Consider the following 13,720-nt stretch of genomic DNA (forward strand, 5'->3'; position numbering starts at 1 on the left):
GTGTAGCATTCTATGTTCAGCTTTTGCATTTATTTTCTCAGTGTCATGATTTGCTCCTCTGATTCAAGATCACTTATCTCCTCATCACTCAGCGTATACATATTGGCATTAACATTTTTTGCAAAAATCATATATAAATGGGTGTACAATGTTCTTGTCATTCTACAGCAACTTTTTATTTTTTGTTCAGCGATTAGCTTGTTTTTCATTTATTTAAAGATTTCAGGCCAGGCGTGGTGACTCACGCCTGTAATCCCAGCACTTTGGGAGGCCGAGGCGGGCGGATCACGAGGTCAGGAGATCCAGACCATCCTGGCTAACACGGTGAAACCCCATCTCTAATAAAAATACAAAAAATTAGCCGGGCGTGGCGGTGGGTGCCTGTAGTCCCAGCCACTCAGGAGGTTGAGGCAGGAGAATGGCCTGAACCCGGGAGGTGGAGCTTGTATTCTGCCGAGATCTCAACACTGCACTCCAGCCTGGGCGACAGGGCGAGACACCGACAAAAGAAAAAAAAAAAATCATAGTGTGCATTTTTACTTTCCACCACATTTAATTAGACTCTCTTCATGGTGACTAAAAAGCATCATAATAATTATAGATGTCAACAAGCCTTTGTTTAAGTGTATGTCCTACTTCACGCTATATTAGAAATTAAAAGTGAAGTAATTAAAATGCAAGGATGCACAGCCATACATTTCAATAGCCATTACAAATGTGGCTCACTAATCTTTAGAGCCATGCCATGTGACCTGTCCTGATTTTAAAAAACTCCAGTGTACCCCTTTATAAAAAAAAGTAATTTAAAAAAATAACGAAGGTAGTATTTCCCTGCTTGCTTCCTCTGCATGGATTTTGAACTTCAGGGATAATCAGATCACATTTTAGAACCAGAGTTTTCAACCATAAATAGGATTCCTAAATGCCAAGTGATAAACGGTTCGTTGATGATGAGATAGCTCTGAATGTTTCATCTCTGCGTGTTTTGCTTTTTTATCTTGTCTTAGAAAGGTCAAAGCCAGCTATTTTCTTCATAAAGGAAAATATTTTGGTTACATACTCATTTCCTATCTCATGACACTCTGCTTTCTTTGCACTTAGTGAGGATGTACATTTATCATATTTTTACCTAAAACAAGCAGATGAATTAATGGTATCATTTCCTATATATGAATTTCTGAGGTTTCTTCAGTGCTTCAGAAGTAAAGTTTAAAGATATTAATGAATCGAGGACGATCTTCTCATCGTAATTAAAGCGGGTTTTTATTTAAAGTGTATTGAATACAATTTTAAGCACTTTTTTTCTAAAACACATACCTGCAACACGGTCATGCATATTTAGCCTTAAATCGCTTGGACATAAATTGTGTGTGTTTTAGAGAGTTTATGTCCCCTGAAGTGTCTTCATTACTGATCAATCAACTCCAAAGGAAACAACATATATACTTGATATGTCTAAATATATTAAAGTGTGTCTTACTGAAAAATAACAAAGTAGAGAAAAATGAGAGATTAAGCATGTTGTATTCATATTATTTGATGAAAGGAGATATATTTCTATTTCAAAGAAATGTCTGTTTTTTCTTGAAGCTAAGCTTTCTATAAAAGCTTTTTCATAACAGTGGCTTAACAACTCACATGGTATAACAAATAGAATTAGTTTTAGCAACAAAGCAATTGTAGAATTCATTCCTTGAACAATAAAACTGTTATTTTCAATAACCATTACTCTAACATTGAAATATGCAGGTTAATGATATGTAAAAAGTCTCTGGAAATTGACATCTAGTTTTTGATACTTTCATATCAGGTGTTTTTTCTTTTGTTGAGACAGAGTCTCGCTCTGTCATCCAGGCTGGAGTGCAGGGGCATGATCTTGACTCACTGCCACCTGGGCCTCCTGGGTTCAAGTGATTCTCACAGCTCCGGCTCCCAAGTAGCTGCGGTTACAGGCATGTGCCACCATACCTGGATGATTTTTGTATTTTTTGTGGAGACAGGGTTTCGCTATTTTGGCCAGGCTGCTTTGGAACTCCTGGCCTTGAGAGATCCGCCCTCTTCAGGCGTCCAAGGTTCTGGAGTTACAGGCATGAGCCATGCCACCTGGACTGTATTAGTTTGTGGATGGGTGTGCTTTGACTTTTCTGTATAAGTGGATCAGGAAATTTTGAGAGGACTAAACCAGAGAACCCCATAAATGTAAAAATACTCCTATTTCACAGAGGTTCAAAAATAAATATATTTATAAACTTTTATTCTATAAGTAGATATTTATGCTGATAAATTTAGAACATCCTCTGCAATGATAAGTAAATTGTACCTTTGAATTCTCATCGCAGCTTTGCAATTCTTAAATTACAGGACAAATTGAAGAACATAATAGCTACTTGCAGTATATTGACATAAGAGACTCTGATGTGTTTCCTTAACAATATGCCATAGCATTCTTCCGTTACCTAGGACTTATTTTTTTTTTTTTTGGCGGTGGGTCATGACTTGGTCATCTTAGTAAATTCAACTTCTTTCCCTATACGGCAGATTAATCTTACTGGTATTAGGATTTTTCTAATTTAGTTATTGTCAGTTGAAATATATTTTGATTGTTAAAATCTCCATAGCAAGTTTGATGAAGGTTATTTTTTAAGTTTTCTTAAGTATATTTCTGTCCCGTTGGCATGTTAACAAATACAAAAGCCCAAAAGACCCCAAAACCTAGTGTAATCCCTTTTCAATCCAAGCATGAGGATTCATCTTCATATTCACATTGTACGAATGCTTGGTAGGCTTTGTCAGGCTTGCATATAATCAATTATATATGTCCCTTTACGTTTAGAGTCTCCTGTTAAAGATGGTCTTCTGAAGGTAATAACTTTTATATTGCTATCTTGAATACTAACTACATATTTTAGGAAGCATATATTATGTATTAATTTTTGTGTTTCCAAACCCATTTAGCCTACCTGTGGAAGGAAAGTTTCTCTTCCAAATAAAGCCTTAGAATTAAAGGACAGAGAAACATTCAAAGCAGGTAAATTTTGTAATTTAACTTTTAATCTGTAATTAAGAATATTAAACTATTTGAAATGCCGAGAGGCTTTTATTCCCAATGTTGTTTTCTTTTGAAAATTTGGTGGGAAAATTTGAAACAAATAATGCCAATGTTAGCATTTATGTTTGAGAAAATGCCATTTACAAGCATAAGATTTAGAGATTAACAAAAAATTCAGCTTTGCCTCATGTGGATATCTGTCCAGCAGCCTGCAATACAATGGGGCCTTGTCTTTGTTCCCAGGTGGATCGGCAGGTTGAGACATAATAGACACAGACAAGATAGTGAAAGCTGGGTCCAGGGGAATCACCACCTTGTCGTCCCGTAGTGCCAACAATTCACTGGATATACCCACATTTATTATTAAGTTTAGTGAGGGTGGGGGTGGGTTAATGAGGGATTTAGGGTCATTTGATTATGAGGTGAGATGGTCCCATGTGGATGAAGTAATTCTGTAACTAACATCTGTATGCAGAAATACAGTATACAGGGATAAGAATTTACAATATAGTGTGTGCATCGGTAATTTCTAACAAAGCCTTAAAACAGAAATGCAGACTTTCCATAACCTATGATTAGCAAGATATTAATCAGCAGTAACAGTTGCAGCAAAAGCTGGTTACAAACAATCCATAGAAACAGGATGTGAAGCTAGACAACTGGGTAGACCAGAAATTCTCAGAAGGGAGTATGCCTTAACCCTAAAGAGGCCTAGAAGAGCCGTGGCAAGATGAGGGCATTCATAGCACTATCTTATCCATATGGACAGGTACCCCCCCATGCGTCTGTTTATAGGCTCTCCACAAGGGTAGGATTCCATTCCCAGAGCTATGAACATATGCCTTTCTGGGACAGGAATCTTGGTGACGCGAAACCTCCCTGACTGCACATCCATTCACAGGTTCTCTGCAGGGGGAAGCACATCACGTGCTGTTGGCTCATTCTGGCAGTCCAACCTGGCATTGTCTTTACACAATCCTGCATGCAGTTTTGTATTTACAATAACCAGGAGCATTGCATCTTTTATTCCATAGCAATAGTTTCAGGGGGTCTCCCTACAGTTGGCATGTTAACAAATACAATAACCCAAAGGACCCCAAAACCTAGTGTAATCCCTTTCCAATCCAAGCATGAGGATTCATCTTCATATTCACACTGTATGAACGTTTGGTAGGCTTTGTCAGGCTTGCATATAATCAATTATAAATGTCCCTTTTCTTTTAGAGTCTCCTGATAAAGATGGTCTTCTGAAGGTAATAGCTTTTATGTCTCTATCTTGAATATTAACTACATATTTTTGAAGTGTACATTATATATTAATTTTTGTGTTTCCGAACCCATTTAGCCTACCTGTGGAAGGAAAGTTTCTCTTCCAAATAAAGCCTTAGAATTAAAGGACAGAGAAACACTCAAAGCAGGTACATTTTGTAATTTAAATTTTAATCTGGAATTAAGAATATTAAACTATTTGAAATGCCAAGAGCCTTTTATTCCCAATGTTGTTTTCTTTTGAAAATTTGATGGGAAAATTTGATACAAATAATGCCAATGTTAGTATTTATGTTTGAGAAAATGTCATTTAGAAGCATAAGATTTAGAGATAAAAAAATTCAGCTTTGCCTCATGTGGATATCTGTCCAGCAGCCTGCAATGCAACGGGGCCTTGTCTTTGTTCCCAGGTGGATCAGCAGGTTGAGAAATAATAGACACAGACAAGATAGTGAAAGCTGTGTCCAGGAGAATCACCGCCTTGTCGTCCCGTGGTGCCAACAATTCACTGGATATACCCGCATTTGTTATTAAGTTTAGTGAGGGTGGGGGTGGGTTAATGAGGGATTTAGGGTCATTTGATTATGAGGTGAGATGGTCACATGGGGATGAAGTAATTCTTTAACTAACATCTGTATGCAGAAATACAGTACACAGGGATAAGAATTTACAATATAGTGTGTGCATCGGTAATTTCTAACAGAGCCTTAAAAAAGAAACACAGTCTTTCCATAACCTATGATTAGCAAGATATTAATCAGTAGTAACAGTTGCAGCAAAAGCTGGTTACAAACAATCCATAGAAACAGGATGTGAAGCTACACAACCGGTTAGACCAGAAATTCTCAGAAGGGAGTATGCCTTAACCCTAAAGAGGCTAGAAGAGCCGTGGCAAGATGAGGGCGTTCATAGCACTATCTTATCCATATGGACAGGCACCCCCCTCCGTGCGTCCATTTATAGGCTCTCCACAAGGGTAGCATTCCATTCCCAGAGCTATGAACATATGCCTTTCTGGGATAGGAACCTTGGTGATGTGAAACCTCCCTGACGGCACATCCATTCACAGGCTCTCTGCAGGGGGTAGCACATCACCCACTGTTGGCTCATTCTGGCAGTCCAACCTGGCATTGTCTTTACACAATCCTGCATGCAATTTTGTATTTACAATAATCAGGAGCATTGCATCTTTCATTCCATAGCAACAGTTTCAGGGGGTCTCCCTACAGTTGGCATGTTAACAAATACAATAACCCAAAAGACCCCAAAACCTAGTGTAATCCCTTTTCAATCCAAGCATCATGAGGATTCGTCTTCATATTCACACTCTATGAACGTTTGGTAGGCTTTGTCAAGCTTGCATATAATCAATTATATATGTCCCTTTTCTTTTAGAGTCTCCTGATAATGATGGTCTTCTGAAGGTAATAACTTTTATATTTTTATCTTGAATATTACCTACATATTTTATGAAGTATACATTATATGTTAATTTTTGTGTTTCCAAACCCATTTAGCCTACCTGTGGAAGGAAAGTTTCTCTTCCAAATAAAGCTTTAGAATTGAAGGACAGAGAAACATTCAAAGCAGGTAAATTTTGCAATTTTAATTTTACTCTGGAATTAAGAATATTAAACTATTTGAAATGCTGAGCACCTTTTTATTCCCAATGTTGTTTTCTTTTCAAAATTGGATGGGAAAATTTGATAAAATAATGGCAACATTAGTATTCATGTTTGAGAAAATGCCATTTACAAGCATAAGAAATAGGGATTTAGAAAAAAATTCTGCTTTACTTCATGTGGTTCTTCTTTAATATCCCGATAGTATAAAGTTTCCAATTTGCAATTTCTGTACGTGCTCGGTTTTAAGGCAGGTGAATTTTGAAACTGTGAAATATTTTCAGTGTTTCAAATGCTGACTGGAATTCTGATCTTTACTTTGAGGAAAGTTTCACTTGCTGAGGTGACAGTTGTGAGCATTGTCACTCTGAGAATCTAAAGAAAATCAGTTTCTTGTTTTTCTGATTAGGTGACTGAGTGTGTGTGTGTGTGTGTGACATATAATTTTTAAAAATCATTACTTGATGATTCTTTGCTAGATACACTGTTTCAGAAGTGTGACTCTAAAGCTTTTGGCCTTGGTGTCTTTTTATGCTACTGTAATTAATTGCCTAGAGGTACAAAACAGCCTGAATTAATTTTTGTTGTCATTCCCATGCATGTTTAAATCATGTTACAACAGGCTGTGCACGGTGGCACATGCCTGTAATCCTGGCAATTTAGGAGACCAAGGTGGGCAGATTACTTAAGGTCAGGAGTCGCAGACGAGCCTGGTCAACACAGTGAAACCCCATCGCTACTAAAAATAACAAACAATAGCCGGTTGTGGTGGTGGGTGCCCGTAATCTCAGCTATTCTGGAGGCTGAGGCAGGAGAATTGCTTGAACCCATGAGGCAGAAGTTGCAGTGAGCCAAGCTTGTGCCACTTTAGCCTGAGTGACAGAGTGAGACTCCATCTCAAAAAGCAAACAACCATAAATTCACAACATATGTGTGTGGTTCTGACTATGTGTAGAATTTGTTTTGACGTCTTAAATTTTCTTTTTTTTTTAAATTTTGATATGGCGTCTCGCTGTCTCGCCCATCTCGTTGTCTTGCCCAGGCTGGAGAGCAGTGGTGTGATCTTGGCGCACTGCAAGCTCCACCTCCCAGGTTCACGCCATTCTCCTGCCTGGGCCTCCCAAGTAGCTGGGAATCCAGACGCCTACCACAACGCCTGGCTCATTCTTTGTATTTTTAGTAGAAACGGGGTTTCACCATGTTAGCCAGGATGATCTCGACCTGCTGACCTTGTAATCCACCCACCTCGGCCTCCTAAAGTGCTGGGATTAGAGGCGTGAGCCACCGCGCCCGGCCCAGAGTCTTTTTACACTAGTACCATTTATTGCCTAGAAGTAACCAATATTCTAAACTACTTTTTAAAAGTATTCTTATGCATGTTTAAACATTTTCCAACATGTGTACGTGGTCATATTTAATACATAAAATTTTTTTCAACTTCTAATGCATAGGTGGTTGTACAGTGTAATTTTTGACAACATTCTGTTTTGATCAGCATTATAATTTTTAGAGACGTCCATAAAGGACACAATTAACTGTCTTTTTAAATGTCAGATTGTTTATAAAATTCCATTAAGTACACAATTATTATGCTGATAAATAAAAATGAAAACATGAAAATTTCAGAGTCTTTAAGTTAGTTATATCTACTGACTTTTTAGTTGTGAGAAATTAAAACTAAAATATTTAAAGTATTTCCTTGTGCAATCATACATTCCACTAACAATTCCAACTGCGACCCACAGATTATTAGAGCTATGCTACTGCAACACATTAGATCTCTGAAACGATCCAGGGTACACTTCTAAACATGAGTGAAAATGGTGGCATACCAAAGTATGATTTTAGTTTCTTGGTCCCTCTGCATGAAATGTGAACTTTAGGGATGCTGAGATTACATGTTAAATTTACTTTTAAAAACCAGATACACAGTTGATGGATGTCAAATGATAAACGTACCTTTAACGATGATACAGTCTTTTAGGCTTTAGTCGTGCATGTTTGCTTTTTTCTTTAACCTGATTCAAAGAGTTGTAATGTGTACTTTTGGTTGATAAACAAAGCTGAACGTTATTTTTGGTATAAATTCATTTTCTGTCTCATTGGCCTGAGAGCTCCTCAAGTCTTGTGTGGGCCTTGATTTTATCCTATAACATGTGGGGATGTGAGATTACTTAGGGCAATTATTTTTTCCTATACATTTCTGATGTTTCTCTTAGTTGTCACAAGCTGACTCTGAAGACATTGTTGAGTTAGGGGAGAACTATGTCATTGTAATTAAAGCAGTTCTTAATTTATATGCAATAAAAGTTTTTTAAGCTTATCTTCCTAAAACATATAGACACCCAAAACACACCCAATATACTGTCATGGCATATTGAAATGTAAAAGTGTTGGACATATAGTTTACTAACATCAGAAAGTTAATATCCCTAAAAAATCTTGTTCGTTGATAAATCATCTTTTTTGAAGAACTGTGTAATAGAGATTGCAGAGTCAATCAAACTAAGTAATACTAGAAAATAAAAATTTACAAAGAAGTGAGAGATGATAGGTAATTAAAGTTTTCTGAATGAACAGCAAGTATAGGACACACTGTGTTTCACGGGAGAAGAGGATGTAACTGCTTTGTGAAGAAATAACTCTACGAGTTAGTCAAATTTCTATTTTTCTGCATTCTAACGAATGATATAATGTTAATTTTCCGTTTTTTTAGATTTCATTTCTAACGGATTGACTATAGAAGTAGTGATTGTAATCAACAAAAAGAATATACGGGCTACAGAGGAAAAACCGCAGATTCGTGAATGAAAGTAGATTTATATATGTTTTTAAAGTTTATAGTAGAGAAATGTTCTCATGAATGTATCTGTGATTAACCTTTTATAGCTCAGATGTTCCCATCAGAATCCAAACAAAAGGATGATGAAGAAAATTCTTGGGATTTTGAGGTACTGTGTATTATTAATTTTCTTTAATACTAGTATTGCATGATACAAAAACATAAAAGCAGAGGCTTAGACTTTATTTTCTCACCTCTGCATATGTCACTCCCAAATTATTTTTGATATTTTTCAGAATACGCTTAATAGAGGATCTATGTGCTAAGTAGATGACTGCTTCGTAGTGAAATTCTGCTAATTTTCAGGCTTAATTTAAGAAGCCGGTGTGGTATAGTGTAAAAAATAAGGCTTAGAAGTCACTAGAAATTCACATGGGATCTGAAGCAAGTTTGTCTAAAAGCAAAAGAATTACACTGAGTCCAGCTGTGGGCAAATTTATGATTCTGTGGTGTATCTAGATGTGCAAAAGTTCTAACTGGATTCGTAGAGAGACAGTTTAAACTGCAGTATTGTAAAAGTTGGGACCTGAAAAGTTAATGCCTGGGACTTGAATGTATTGACATTTCTGTATTGTTCAGTATAGATCTGAGGGAACATTTCAGGAGAAAGAGGAGCATGAGGACTAGGAAACCTTGTGGGACTACAGTAACAAGAGTATTGGTTGAGTAATCTTTTGAAAAATATAAATTATTTTCACAAGTAGAACTCCTCGAGTCCCTTTGTGGCAGGCAGTCAAGCTGCAGCAGCATGAGTGTGAAATAATAGTGATGTATTTTAAGGTCACAACTGTGGAAAGACATAGAAAATATCTGACCTCTTAGAAACAAGCAGCTGCTGCCTGGTGGTAAGAGCAAAGGGTGGAAGTCAGTAGACAAGTAGATTTTATCTGATTTGTCGTCAGACAAAAAGACTTTAATATTTGTTGGCTTTCATTTAGACATGACATAATTTCTTTTCTTACTGCATTTACATTCTCTTCAAGCACTTTTTCTATCAGCATAAATTTTGTCAAAAACATGTTGCTTGTTTTAAGCCCCTGTTTACCAAAATAAAGCAACTTTTTAAACATTCCGTGCATGCATTATATGACAGACTCTAAAAGTTCTCTTCACGGCATGCATCATTTTTAACACTAAACAATCTATGATCATGAATATTTTAAATGTTTAATGCAGTACGTGTTATGGCTAGTAGCAAGTGTATTGTATTTTGTTTGAAATGGCGTATTTACTTTTAATGAGGACTACAACACAAGTTAGATATTTTTAAGAGAGTTACTTTCTGAAATATGCACGAGTGAATTCTTTCGTGAGTGTGATTTGTTTTTCCTGCTCAGTAACCAAGTTAATAGCCTCATGAACGTAAAGGTAAGTTGATGTGGAGAGTGTTATGTGAGGTTTTCTATCAGAATGTTTTGGGTTTCAACACATGTCTGCTCTTAAGTCGAATTCCTTGTAAAGTAGGAAACTGTGTTTTTAGAAAAGATTTTAATTAGGAACTTTTGATACTCCTCATTATTGGGATTTCTCCATTGAAATTATTTATTGATATTACTTTTAACAGAGTTTCCTTGAGACTCTCTTACAGAATGATGTGTGTTTACCCAAGGCTACACATCAAAAAGAATTCGATACCTTAAGTGGAAAATTAGAAGGTAAGAACCATATTTTATTTAAAAAGTCATTTGACCAAATGTTTCTCTGAACTGATGAGGAGGGATATCCCCTAATAGCTGAAGAAAATTACCTCCTGAATGCAAAGCATGGAAAAAAAGAGAAGTGAAATGGTGATAAGTTATACGTCTTATCATGTGTTGGCAGCAGACTACATAGAGAGTGCTGGAAAGGAACTGAATTATTAGTTTGAATTCAAGGTATTCCAAGAGCTGAGGAAAATGAGAAAATAAGAAAGGAGAAAGTAGTAAAAGAGGAAATGAAGATCGAGAAAGACAGAGAGTACAGAGAGGACGGGAAGGAACAAGAGGCAGGTTTATATAATGGAGGATGGTAAAATGAAATGATTCTTTAGGAAAAGATCGGGTATGGTTAGAAATTTGGGAAGAATATAAAGTGACTTTCCAGTGCCAAAACATACCAGAGAATTACAGCAAAAATATTCTGACTCTTCCTGTCTTTCTCACTGGTGGGAAGCCATTAGGGATGGAAGCAGCTGACCATGGAGAGCTGTGTTCTATTTGCAATAGTTGAGAATAAGCATATATGCACGGCCACACATGTATATAATTTGTCATATACACTCCGTATAGACCGTAAGTTTTCAAACTTTAGAAAACCGTCTGAAAACCTTGTTAACAATTCACACTGTGATTCAGCCGACTAGGGATTCTGCATTTTTAGTAAGTTGTCAGGCGATGCTGATGCTGGTGGTCGTTGGACCTTGCTCTGAGTAGCAAGATGAGAGACCTTTGTGGGAAAAAATGTGGAAGAAGGGCCATTGGGTAGAAGGTCAGGACAGAAAAGGGTCAGGAGAAAGCATTATGGTGCTCCTATTTTTGAGTATGTTTTTAGTTAGGGGAGAAGAAGAAAGGGGCAATGGAATAGAAATTGTAGATGGAAGATACTACTTCTATACAAAGAAAAAGGAAAGAGTGTGTGTTGAATGGGAAGAATCAAGAACACAAGTCTAGTGATTACTTTTGCTAAAGAAGAGAGATTATGAGGCAGGAAGCAGGGGACAAGAGAGAAGCCAGCTAGATTATTTTGGATTTTGTATGAAGGAAAATGGAGTGAACTCACTTCGGAAGCATTTAGAATATTTTTACTGCAGAATGTTAGAGTGTGGGTGCTCCAGAGACTTTTGGAATCATGAGGATTACTAGAATAGGACTAAACCTCAGTGACTCATTAATTTTCTTTATTACTATGAGGCATCAAATATATATATATATGTATATATTTTGTTGATATTCACAATTTGAATAAGACATACTAGAATGTAAGAACCTTGGCTTTATTTTTAAGGAAGCAAATTGTGTTGGTAAAATTGCCATTTTATAAAACCTCATTAGCGAATAACATGATATACCAAACCAGACTAATTTTAAAAACCATAATTCTGAATTTATGACTTGAATACTTAAATTGTTGTTATTCATAGGTATTTTACTGATTTTAACCTAGAAAATTTTGTTAATATTTAATAAGTCTGTTGAAACTAAATTTATAACAAATACATCAATATTGAGGGCCAATTAAATTTGCTGTTCCTGATGAGGTTTGTACATCTTCCTCCATCAGTGGATCAAGAAATATTGAGATGGCAAAGCTAGAAATTACAAAAATGTTGGATACTATTGTAGCATACGGGTATGAAAATCAATGAATATTTATATTTAGTATTATGCTCCAAGTATATATCCAAGCTGATCAATTCATAACACTTTCACTGATGAGATGTCAAATCTACATTCAGCTGAACTCTCATCCGAACTGTGTACTTTCTCAATGACAGGACATATTAAAGAACATGATGAATATTTGTAATGATATAAATTATTATAATGTGTTGCATTAAAGACACATGGTGTAGCATTCTACGTTCAGCTTTTGCATTTATTTTCTCAGTGTCATGATTTGCTCCTCTGATTCAAGATCACTTATCTCCTCATCACTCAGCGTATACATATTGGCATTAACATTTTTTGCAAAAATCATATATAAATGGGTGTACAATGTTCTTGTCATTCTACAGCAACTTTTTATTTTTTGTTCAGCGATTAGCTTGTTTTTCATTTATTTAAAGATTTCAGGCCAGGCGTGGTGACTCACGCCTGTAATCCCAGCACTTTGGGAGGCCGAGGCGGGCAGATCACGAGGTCAGGAGATCCAGACCATCCTGGCTAACACGGTGAAACCCCATCTCTAATAAAAATACAAAAAATTAGCCGGGCGTGGCGGTGGGTGCCTGTAGTCCCAGCCACTCAGGAGGTTGAGGCAGGAGAATGGCCTGAACCCGGGAGGTGGAGCTTACAGTCAGCCCAGATCTCAACACTGCCCTCCAGCCTGGGTGACAGGGCGAGACACCGCCAAAAAAAAAAAAGAAAAAAAAAATCATAGTGTGCATTTTTACTTTCCACCACATTTAATTAGACTCTCTTCATGGTGACTAAAAAGCATCATAATAATTACAGATGTCAGCAAGCCTTTGTTTAAGTGTATGTCCTACTTCACGCTATATTAGAAATTAAAAGTGAAGTAATTAAAATGCAAGGATGCACAGCCATACATTTCAATAGCCATTACAAATGTGGCTCACTAATCTTTAGAGCCATGCCATGTGACCCGTCCTGATTTTAAAATCTCCAGTGTACCCCTTTATAAAAAGAAAGTAATTTAAAAAAATAACGAAGGTAGTATTTCCCTGCTTGCTTCCTCTGCATGGATTTTGAACTTCAGGGATAATCAGATCACATTTTAGAACCAGAGTTTTCAACCATAAATAGGATTCCTAAATGCCAAGTGATAAACGGTTCGTTGATGATGAGATAGCTCTGAATGTTTCATCTCTGCGTGTTTTGCTTTTTTATCTTGTCTTAGAAAGGTCAAAGCCAGCTATTTTCTTCATAAAGGAAAATATTTTGGTTACATACTCATTTCCTATCTCATGACACTCTGCTTTCTTTGCACTTAGTGAGGATGTACATTTATCATATTTTTACCTAAAACAAGCAGATGAATTAATGGTATCATTTCCTATATACGAATTTCTGAGGTTTCTTCAGTGCTTCAGAAGTAAAGTTTAAAGATATTAATGAATCGAGAACGACCTTCTCATCGTAATTAAAGCGGGTTTTTATTTAAAGTGTATTGAATACAATTTTAAGCACTTTTTTTCTAAAACACATACCTGCAACACGGTCATGCATATTTAGCCTTAAAATGCTTGCACATAAATTTTGTGTGTTTTAGAGAGTTTAT

The 13,720-nt window shown here is 36.5% G+C and overlaps 1 protein-coding gene across 9 annotated transcripts in view; it reads left to right on the forward strand.

Moving 5' to 3' along the window:
* The window catches only part of ANKRD30B (ankyrin repeat domain 30B), a 192,964-nt gene that overhangs the window by 45,216 nt on the left and 134,028 nt on the right, over window positions 1-13,720 (forward strand). For 8 of the 9 annotated variants that reach the window (XR_007066151.1, XR_007066152.1, XR_935057.3 and 5 more), the window contains exons 17-24: window positions 2,834-2,862; window positions 2,956-3,028; window positions 4,274-4,302; window positions 4,395-4,467; window positions 5,714-5,742; window positions 5,836-5,908; window positions 8,830-8,891; window positions 10,347-10,437. Coding sequence is in view for 4 of the 9 variants with exons in the window: in NM_001367607.2 (NP_001354536.1) it covers window positions 2,834-2,862; window positions 2,956-3,028; window positions 4,274-4,302; window positions 4,395-4,467; window positions 5,714-5,742; window positions 5,836-5,908; window positions 8,830-8,891; window positions 10,347-10,437 (459 nt within the window). In the remaining 5 variants the exon portion in view is untranslated. The remainder of the gene's footprint in view (window positions 1-2,833; window positions 2,863-2,955; window positions 3,029-4,273; window positions 4,303-4,394; window positions 4,468-5,713; window positions 5,743-5,835; window positions 5,909-8,829; window positions 8,892-10,346; window positions 10,438-13,720) is intronic. The other variant, NR_160272.1, reaches the window with a different exon arrangement.

Source organism: Homo sapiens, chromosome 18 (assembly GCF_000001405.40).
Source record: "Homo sapiens chromosome 18, GRCh38.p14 Primary Assembly".
Classification (NCBI taxonomy): domain Eukaryota; kingdom Metazoa; phylum Chordata; class Mammalia; order Primates; family Hominidae; genus Homo; species Homo sapiens.